Raw genomic sequence first — 11,116 nt, 5'->3', positions numbered from 1 at the left:
TTTGTCCACCTCACCTCAGCCCTCTTCCAGTGAGAGCTGGGGCCATGGCAGACAGTTCCACCCAGGCTCAGGGTCTCCTCTGACAGTCACCAACCTGAAGCTTGTGCTATTTGCCTCTATTTCCAACTCAGCATTTCTCTGATGCTACAGCCCAAAAGTGGGGTTTCAAGAACTATTGCCTCAAGGTGCAGTCCTCAGCAATGAGGGACAGGAACTGGAAAAAAAGCCTACACTGCCTGTCCTGAGATGATAATTCTGGGAGCCATTCTCCATGCCTCTCAAGAGGCCCCGGCAGAACTGAGCTGCTTTTGCTCACAGCAGTGACTTGAACAGTGCATCCTTATATTGGTCAATCTTTATTCTTTTGACCACTCTCTCAGCTCCCACACTCCTGCTTCCTGAGATCACCTCCCAAACAAAATGTCCATTCCTACTTTCTTTTCTCAGGCTTTGCTTTTGGTGTAATTCCTCATGGCTGAATATTTAATTTTAAAAACCTCTGGCAACCAGACTTTCTCTGAATTGAGGGAGTTGACTGTCCCATTTGCCATTCAGAGATACAGCTATCTCTCACTCTGTTTTCATAGTCCCAAAAGAGGTTTTATTTTTTACAGGGCAACGGGTACCAAAGAATTCTGAGAACCTAATCAACTAGCATTTGCCAGGTTTTTGCTAAGTAGTTTGGGGACTACCAAGAAACTTCCATATTACAATACATAAGAAGTAAATGTAATATAAATATAAGACACAAAAATTAGTCAAAAGATGGACATACATGGTATTGGAGTATCGGGGAACCTGCCCTGATAATCACGTAGGTTCTTTTCTATTTTTCCTAAGCATCAGCCAGCTTGAGAAATAAAGGGACAGAGTACAAAAGAGGGAAATTTCAAAGCTGGGCATCCGGGGGAGATATCACACATTGGTAGGATCCGTGATGCCCCACAAGCCACAAAAACCAGCAAGTTTTTATAGGGATTTTCAAAAGGGGAGGGAGTGTGCGAATAGGTGTGGGTGACAGACATCAAGTACTTAACAGGGTAATAGAAAATCACAAGGCAATTGGAGGCAGGGCGGGATCACAGGACCACAGTACCGAGGCAAAATTAAAATTGCTAATGAAGTTTCAGGCACCATTGTCATTGATAACATCTTATCAGGAGACAGGGTTTTGAGATCAACTGGTCTGACCAAAATTTATTAGGTGGGAATTTCCTCTTCCTAATAAGCCTGGGAGTGCTATGGGAGACTGGAGTTTATTTCATCTCTGCAGCCTCAACCATAAGAGACAGGCACACCTGGGGGGCTGTTTATAATCCTATACCTCCAGGCGCGTATTCTCTTTCTCACGAATGTTCCATGCTGAGAAAAATAATTCAGCGATATTTCTCCCATTTGCTTTTGAAAGAAGAGAAATATGACTCTGTTCCACCCAGCTCACCGGCAGTCAGAGTTTAAGGTTTTCTCTCTTATTCCCTGAACAATTGCTGTTATCCTGTTCTTTTTTCAAGGTTCCCACATTTCATATGGTTTAAACACACATGCTGTACAATTTGTGCAGTTAATGCAATTACTACAGGGTCCTGAGGCAATATACATCCGCCTCAGCTGACAGGATTAAGAGATTAAAGTAAAGACAGGCATAGGAAATCACAAGGGTATTGATTGGGGAAGTGATAAGTATCCATGAAATCTTCACAATTTATGTTTAGAGATTGCAGTAAAGACAGGCATAAGAAATTACAAAAGTATTAATTTGGGGAACTAATAAATGTCCATAAAATCTTCACAATCCACGTTCTTCTGCCATGGCTTCAGCTGGTCCCTCTGTTTGGGGTCCCTGATTTCCCACAACATTGAGGAAGAGCTGTGGTCCTGCTTGTCTGGCATTTGCTTTCCCTTCCGCTGGTTAAAGTCCTGCAGTTTCCCTTTGTAGAGCCCACCCAGGTCCATGCTTTATTTTGTGGCTAGCTTGGCTGGTTCCACTCCTGTCTCTTGAGGGAATGGCTTGATTCAAGGATGGCCACTTGGTTTAGTCCGCCCCCCAGGTCACAGTGCTTATTAATTCAGGGATGTCCATGTGGCTCAGATTGGTCCAATAATATTTAGAGCTGGGATTTTTGTTGGACGTTTTGAATAGCACAGTTATTTTTTAGCTGGAGTCACTGAACTGGTAGAAATTGAACTTTGAAGCTGTTGGTGACATTTTTGCCACCACGATGTGAGTCTATTAAATCTGAAGGCAGCTTAAGGAGAAGCCTGGCAGAGACTGAATCCTGATGGTACTGCAAGAGCACCAGGATCCATTTTCATGAGCTCATAGCTTCAGTTTGCTGTCTGAAGTTGAGTTAGGTAGATTTCTAACACTTGTAACTGAAAGAATCTGGACTAAAAAATTATTTTGATACAAGGTGATAACAGCTGAGCCCAAACTGGGATTCAAAGCTTTATCACGTCTTTTAAATTGAGGGGTTGGTAATCCTACTTCTTTCCCAGGTGTCAATTTGCATGAGTTGATAGGGAGGGAAAGGGGCCCACAAGGATGATGTTCCAGCATGGGCTCCAGTGGTCAGAAATGTGCTACTCTGTGCTAACTGATGGTGAGAACAATTTGATATCTATTCTCTCTCTAAGCAATACTAAAATAAGGACTCAGCTGGGGGCTTTGGGAGACCAGGGCCACAGCCTAGATGGTTTGGACTCTGATAACAAGGTCCACACAGATGGAGAAATATCTATTTTCCATGTTTGCCTGAAACACAGCATTACTCTGGTAGAAAGGGACTAAAAGGAGCCCAGGAATTTTTGTGGGACATTGGGAAGCAGAGCTCTGGGCAAGGAAGCATGTTCTCATGAAGGCTGAGATGAGCTCCTCAGGTAGCTGCTGGGAGGTTGCATTCAGCCTGGAGACTGGACTGAGAATGTGTGCATCCCAGAACCTTCCAGACATAATAGGCAGACCTGTGGCAGAGAGGCTGAGGAGGGGTGGTGGTGACACAGTGGACTATCACAGTGGGTGACAGTCCATTTTTATGTAAGCTTGCATAAAATGTTTCAGAGAGAAATCATTCATCTCTTTTCCTCTCCAAGTTGTGAACGAATTGAGATATACACATAAGAGTGAGAAAGATTCAAGGTATCACTTTATTGTTGCTGAAGTTGGTTCGTAGAACATGCTTGGATTTGAGTCTTGCTTATTTTCCACCCAGATACAGGCAGAGCAGCTGGACTGCAGTAGGTCTTTGCTCCTCAATAAACAAAGGAAAGAACATGAATGTGACTTCAGGGCATGCTGGGTTGAAAAGCTCCCAGATGCAGGCTAAGCTGTGATGTGAAGGAATTAGTTAGTGAGTAGAGAAAAGTCCAGAAGATTACTTTTGAAAACTTTTGAGAGGTCAAAAGTTTCTATTTCATGGCTCTTGGCAAGAATGTGGCAGAGGAAGAAAATAGCTCTCTTGACAGTGTGTGCTATGAGTTAGCAAAATTTGGGCATTAACATTAATTTGGCCTCATCTGGATGTTTTACTAGTTATTGAGCTGTTATCTCCCAGCTGCAAACCATGTCTTATACTTTGCTTCATGATGCTGTGATTGGAACCTGCAAACCACATTCCTCTTCTGCCATGGGTCTCTCTGTTAGTTCTGCTAATAGAGGATGCTGGATGGAGACTGGAGAGCTGGGTGAGGAAGACAGGACTTGTTTTTTTGTTTTTTCTTGTTCTGCTCACATCACCCAATAATACTTCTTCACCCCAGTGACGGAAGCTGGTTGCTGTGTTCCTGTTTCCAGGTTTTTCTGCAGTGCCAGAACCAGCCTCATCACATTCCCTTGGAGACACTAACACCAGCCTCCTCCTCATGAGGCTGGCTCCCAGCTTGATGATCTCTCCTCCAAGCTGCAGGCTCTTAGTAAGCACAACTTCCTCCCTCTGCTCCCAGCCTGGGAGCGAAGAGTTTCTCCCTGAAGTTGCTGTCTTAGTGTGCCCTTGCTCTTCCCTCTTGGCTTTTTGTTCCGTCTCCTAGGCCTGTTTAACCAGCTCCCTATGTCAGATTCCTTCTGTTTACAGGACTAGTGTGGTTTCTTTTTTCTTGAGTGAATCTGGCTGATGATGCACAAGCTCAGGGGGCCTGGGACATTCAGTTTACCTGACATGTCCTGTCTGTGATCCTGCCACTGTGAGCCCCAATTTCAGTAAAATGAGGATATTGGAGGAAAAATGTGTAATGTTGCTTTAAATACTGGCATTTGAGGTCAAATATGTCAAATAAGAGTGACAAAAAATGAAGGTGATCAGTTAAGGTTGTGAGGGTTATATAAAAATTCATATAGGGCAACAGAGAAAATGCCATGGTGAAGGCCTGAATCCTGTAAAGTTGCAGGCAAGGTGAAAAGTTAACCAGCCAGTGTTTCTAAGCTTGCCTTTCTAAATTGCTTACTGCTCAGAAGCCATAGCCCCAAGAGGGTTATGATTTGGGTATATCTCTCTCAAACTTGGCTGCAGGCTTTTCTGATTCATGCAGTGACTCAGCAGGTTAGCAGCAAGAGGTGAGTGCTGTAGAGTTTGCTTCTTCCCTCATCTCTTGCCATTCCCCTTCTTTTAGTGTTCTCCATAGCTATGAGTTCCCAAGCCCTTGAAAGTGTGTCTCTCCTCCTGTCTGGTGAAAGGGACTTTAATGGCACATCCCCAAAAGTTTGATATCTGCCCCTATAGTAAGGGGGTCACTGGGAAGTGTAGAGAACAAAACATGCCTGGATAGCTGCTTTAGTGGGGGGAGAAGAGGTGCTGCTGCATGAGGGACATGTGTTCTTCCAGACATTGTTGAGGTGGAAAAAACATGAATGTTTCCTATGGATGAGGATCAGACTTGTCAGGTAAATACCACTGTTGATGAGAAAAGACAAACTCTATAAAATATTTGAGGAGGTTTTTACTGAGCCAAATATAAGTGACCATTGCCCAGGATACAGCATCAAGCTGTTCTGAGAACATGTGGCCAAGGTGATTGGGTTATACCTTGGTTTACTACGTTACAGGGAGACAGAAGTTACAAGCAAAGACATGAATCAATCCATGTGATATATACATTGGTTCAACCAGGAAGGTGGGACATCTTCTAGCAGGGTGTGGTGGGGAGTGGTTTACAGGTGGATTCAAATATTTTCTAATTGACAATTGGTTGAAAAATTTAAACTTTGCCTAGAGAGTTGAAGTTAGCTAAAATAAATGCTTGAGTTAAGGGGAAGATAAAAGCAAGGCTCTTGTTATGTAGATAAAGCCTCTAACTAGCAGACTTCAGAGAAAATAGATGGTAAGTGTTTCTTTTTTTAATGAACCTTAAAAGGTGTCAAACTCTTAGTTGCATCTCCTCCTGGATCAGGAAAACACACATAAAGGGAAGGAGATTCTCTACAGAATGCAAATTTTTCCACAAGTGACAACTTTGCAGGGCAATTTCAAAATACATCAAATACATATGTTTCAGGATAAAATGCTTTGATTTCTTTTAGGACCTGTTATCTGTCATGTGATGCTATACCAGAGCCAGTTGAAACTTGCTGTCCTATTGCTACAAAGAGTCTGTTTTGTCAGTGTTAAGATTTCTGTTTTAATGTTAATGCTGGTCAGTTGGAACTAAACTCCAAAGAGAGGTGGTACAATGAGGCATGTCTGACTTCCCTTCTCAACAAGGCCTTTCTCAGTTTTTCAGGCTTTTTTGGAATCCCCTTGGCCAAGAGAGGGTCTGTACAGTCAGTAAGGGGGGCTTAGAATGTTATTTTTGTTTCACACTTTTTTTTTTTTATCATTATCTCTTTTCTTCTCATCTCCTTCTTTGACTCAGGTAGAGCTTGAAAATTTAATAAGCAATTTGCAGAGAAAGAAGAAATACTAGATAATGAAATGGAGAAAGAACATATTCTTCACCTTTTTTGACTTCCTCTGACCCATCCTTGCAAGTAGCTAGTATGCAATTTTAGGCTTTGCTATGGAAGGGAAAAAATATTTAGTGCTAAGTAACTTTGGAGCTTTGATTATTAGTTGGGACTGGGCAGTTTTACCTAATGAAATTTGACTTAGTTATTTATTTATTTATTTATTTATTTATTTTTATTATACTTTAAGTTTTAGGGTACATGTGCACAATGTGCAGGTTAGTTACATATGTATACATGTGCCATGCTGGTGCACTGCACCCACTAACTAGTCATCTAGCATTAGGTATATCTCCCAATGATATCCCTCCCCCATCCCTGCCCCACAACAGTCCCCAGAGTGTGATGTTCCCCTTCGTGTGTCCATGTGTTCTCATTGTTCAATTCCCACCTATGATTGAGAATATGCGGTGTTTGGTTTTTTGGTCTTACGATAGTTTACTGAGAATGATGATTTCCAATTTCATCCATGTCCCTACAAAGGACATGAACTCATCATTTTTTATGGCTGCATAGTATTCCATGGTGTATATGTGCCACATTTTCTTAATTCAGTCTATCATTGTTGGACATTTGGGTTGGTTCCAAGTCTTTACTATTGTGAATAATGCCGCAATAAACATACGTGTGCATGTGTCTTTATAGCAGCATGATCTATAGTCCTTTGGGTATATACCCAGTAATGGGATGGCTGGGTCAAATGGTATTTCTAGTTCTAGATCCCTGAGGAATTGCCACACTGACTTCCACAATGGTTGAACTAGTTTACCATCCCACCAACAGTGTAAAAGTGTTCCTGTTTGTCCACATCCTCTCCAGCACCTCTTGTTTCCTGACTTTTTAATGATCGCCATTCTAACTGGTGTGAGATGGTATCTCATTGTGGTTTTGATTTGTATTTCTCTGATGGCCAGTGATGGTGAGCATTTTTTCATGTGTTTTTTGGCTGCATAAATGTCTTCTTTTGAGAAGTGTCTGTTCATATCCTTCACCCACTTTTTGATGGGGTTGTTTGTTTTTTTCTTGTAAATTTGTTTGAGTTCATTGTAGATTCTGGATATTAGCCCTTTGTCAGATGAGTAGGTTGCGAAAATTTTCTCCCATTTTGTAGGTTGCCTGTTCACTCTGATGGTAGTTTCTTGTGCTGTGCAGAAGCTCTTTAGTTTAATTAGATCTTATTTGTCAATTTTGGCTTTTGTTGCCATTGCTTTTGGTGTTTTAGACATGAAGTCCTTGCCCATGCTTATGTCCTGAATGGTAATGCCTGAATGGTAGGTTTTCTTCTGGGGTTTTATGGTTTTAGGTCTAACGTTTAAGTCTTTAATCCATCTTGAATTTATTTTTGTATAAGGTGTAAGAAAGGGATCCAGTTTCAGCTTTCTACATATGGCTAGCCAGTTTTCCCAGCACCATTTATTAAATAGGAAATCCTTTCCCCATTGCTTGTTTTTCTCAGGTTTGTCAAAGATCAGATAGTTGTAGATATACGGCATTATTTCTGAGGGCTCTCTTCTGTTCCATTGATCTATATCTCTATTTTGCTACCAGTAGCATGCTGTTTTGGTTACTATAGCCTTGTAGTATAGTTTGAAGTCAGGTAGCCTGATGCCTCCAGCTTTGCTCTTTTGGCTTAGGATTGACTTGGCGATGTGTGCTCTTTTTTGGTTCCATATGAACTTTAAAGTAGTTTTTTCCAATTCTGTGAAGAAAGTCATTGGTAGCTTGATGGGGATGGCATTGAATCTGTAAATTACCTTGGGCAGTATGGCCATTTTCACGATATTGATTCTTCCTACCCATGAGCATGGAATGTTCTTCCATTTGTTTGTATCCTCTTTTATTACCTTGAGCACTGGTTTGTAGTTCTCCTTGAAGAGGTCTTTCACATCCCTTGTAAGTTGGATTCCTAGGTATTTTATTCTCTTTGAAGCGATTGTGAATGGGGGTTCACTCATGATTTGGCTTTCTGTTTGTCTGTTGTTGGTGTAAAAGAATGCTTGTGATTTTTGTACATTGATTTTGTATCCTGAGACTTTGCTGAAGTTGCTTATCAGCTTAAGGAGATTTTGGGCTGAGACAATGGGGTTTTCTAGATACACAATCATGTCGTCTGCAAACAAGGACAATTTGACTTCTTCTTTTCCTAATTGAATACCTTTTATTTCCTTGTCCTGCCTAATTGCCCTGGCCAGAACTTCCAACACTATGTTGAATAGGAGTGGTGAGAGAGGGCATCCCTGTCTTGTGCCAGTTTTCAAAGGGAATGCTTCCAGTTTTTGCCCATTCAGTATGATATTGGCTGTGGGTTTATCATAGATAGCTCTTATTATTTTGAGATACGTCCCATCAATGCCTAATTTATTGAGAGTTTTTAGCATGAAGGGTTGTTGAATTTTGTCAAAGGCCTTTTCTGCATCTATTGAGATAATCATGTGGTTTTTGTCTTTGGTTCTGTTTATATGCTGGATTACATTTATTGAATTGTGTATATTGAACCAGCCTTGCATCCCAGGGATGAAGCCCACTTGATCATGGTGGATAAGCTTTTTGATGTGCTGCTGGATTCAGTTTGCCAGTATTTTATTGAGGATTTTTGCATCAATGTTCATCAAGGATATTGGTCTAAAATTCTATTTTTTGGTTGTGTCTCTGCCCGGCTTTGGTATCAGGATGATGCTGGCCTCATAAAATGAGTTAGGGAGGATTCCCTCTTTTCCTATTGATTGAAATAGTTTCAGAAGGAATGGTACCAGTTCCTCCTTGTACCTCTGGTAGAATTCAGCTGTGAATCCATCTGGTCCTGGACCCTTTTTAGTTGGTAAGCTACTGATTATTGCCACAATTTCAGCTCCTGTTATTGGTCTATTCAGAGATTCAACTTCTTCCTGGTTTAGTCTTGGGAGAGTGTATGTGTTGAGGAATTTATCCATTTCTTCTAGATTTTCCAGTTTATTTGCGTAGAGGTGTTTGTAGTATTCTCTGATGGTAGTTTGTATTTCTGTGGGATCGGTGGTGATATCCCCTTTATCATTTTTTATTGCATCTATTTGATTCTTCTCTCTTTTTTTCTTTATTAGACTTGCTAGTGGTCTATCAATTTTGCTGATCCTTTCAAAAAACCAGCTCCTGGATTCGTTAATTTTTTGAAGGGTTTTTTGTGTCCCTATTTCCTGCAGTTCTGCTCTGATTTTAGTTATTTCTTGCCTTCTGCTAGCTTTTGAATGTGTTTGCTCTTGCTTTTCTAGTTCTTTTAATTGTGATGTTAGGTTGTCAATTTTGGATCTTTCCTGCTTTCTCTTGTGGGCATTTAGTGCTATAAATTTCCCTCTACATTCTGCTTTGAATGCGTCCCAGAGATTCTGGTATGTTGTGTCTTTGTTCTCGTTGGTTTCAAAGAACATCTTTATTTCTGCCTTCATTTCATTATGTACCCAGTAGTCATTCAGGAGCAGGTTGTTCAGTTTCCATGTAGTTGAGTGGTTTTGAGTGAGATTCTTAATCCTGAGTTCTAGTTTGATTGCACTGTGGTCTGAGAGATAGTTTGTTATAACTTCTGTTCTTTTACATTTGCTGAGGAGAGCTTTACTTCCAACTATGTGGTCAATTTTGGAATAGGTGTGGTGTGGTGCTGAAAAAAATGTATATTCTGTTGATTTGGGGTGGAGAGTTCTGTAGATGTCTATTAGGTCCGCTTGGTGCAGAGCTGAGTTCAATTCCTGGGTATCCTTGTTGTCTTTCTGTCTTGTTGATCTGTCTAATGTTGACAGTGGTTGTAGTTCTCCTTGAAGTCTCCCATTATTAATGTGTGGGAGTCTAAGTCTCTTTGTAGGTCACTCAGGACTTGCTTTATGAATCCAGGTGCTCCTGTATTGGGTGCATATATATTTAGGATAGTTAGCTCTTCTTTTTGAATTGATCCCTTTACTATTAAGTAATGGCCTTCTTTGTCTCTTTTGATCTTTGTTGGCTTAAAGTCTGCTTTATCAGAGACTAGGATTGCAACCCCTGCCTTTTTTTGTTTTCCACTTGCTTGGTAGATCTTCCTCCATCCCTTTATTTTGAGCCTATGTGTGTCTCTGCACATGAGATGGGTTTCCTGAATACAGCACACTGATGGGTCTTGACTCTTTATCTAATTTGCCAGTCTGTGTCTTTTAATTGGAGTATTTAGTCCATTTACATTTAAAGTTAATATTTTTATGTGTGAATTTGATCCTGTCATTATGATGTTAGCTGGTTATTTTGCTCGTTAGTTGATGCAGTTTCTTCCTAGTCTCGATGGTCTTTACATTTTGGCATGATTTTGCAGTGGCTGGTACCGGTTGTTCCTTTCTGTGTTTAGCACTTCCTTCAGGAGCTCTTTTAAGGCAGGCCTGGTGGTGACAAAATCTCTCAGCATTTGCTTGTCTGTAAAGTATTTTATTTCTCCTTCACTTATGAAGCTTAGTTTGGCTGGATATGAAATCCTGGGTTGAAAATTCTTTTCTTTAAGAATGTTGAATATTGGCCCCCACTCTCTTCTGGCTTGTAGAGTTTCTGCTGAGAGATCTGCTGTTAGTCTGATGGACTTCCCTTTGAGGGTAACCCAACCTTTCTCTCTGGCTGCCCTTAACATTTTTTCCTTCATCTGCAATTTGGTGAATCTGACAATTATGTGCCTTGGAGTTGCTCTTCTCCAGGAGTATCTTTGTGGCATTCTCTGTATTTCCTGAATCTGAATGTTGGCTTGCCTTGCTAGATTGGGGAAGTTCTCCTGGATAATATCCTGCAGAGTGTTTTCCAACTTGGTTCCATTCTCCCCGTCACTTTCAGGTACACCAATCAGATGTAGATTTGGTCTTTTCACATAGTCCCATATTTCTTGGAGGCTTTGCTTGTTTCTTTTTATTCTTTTTTCTCTAAACTTCCCTTCTTGCTTCATTTCATTCATTTCATCTTCCATCGCTGATACCTTTTCTTCCAGTTGATTGCATCGGCTCCTGAGGCTTCTGCATTCTTCACTTAGTTCTCGAGCCTTGGTTTTCAGCTCCATCAACTCCTTGAAGCACTTCTCTGTATTAGTTATTCTAGTTGTATATTCTTCTAAATTTTTTTCAAAGTTATCAACTTCTTTGCCTTTGGTTTGAATTTCCTCCCGTAGCTCAGAGTAATTTGATCATCTGAAGCCTTCTTCTCTCAGCTCGT

This window comes from Homo sapiens, chromosome 19, assembly GCF_000001405.40.
Source record: "Homo sapiens chromosome 19, GRCh38.p14 Primary Assembly".
Lineage (NCBI taxonomy): Eukaryota > Metazoa > Chordata > Mammalia > Primates > Hominidae > Homo > Homo sapiens.
This window is presented reverse-complemented; position numbering follows the sequence as displayed.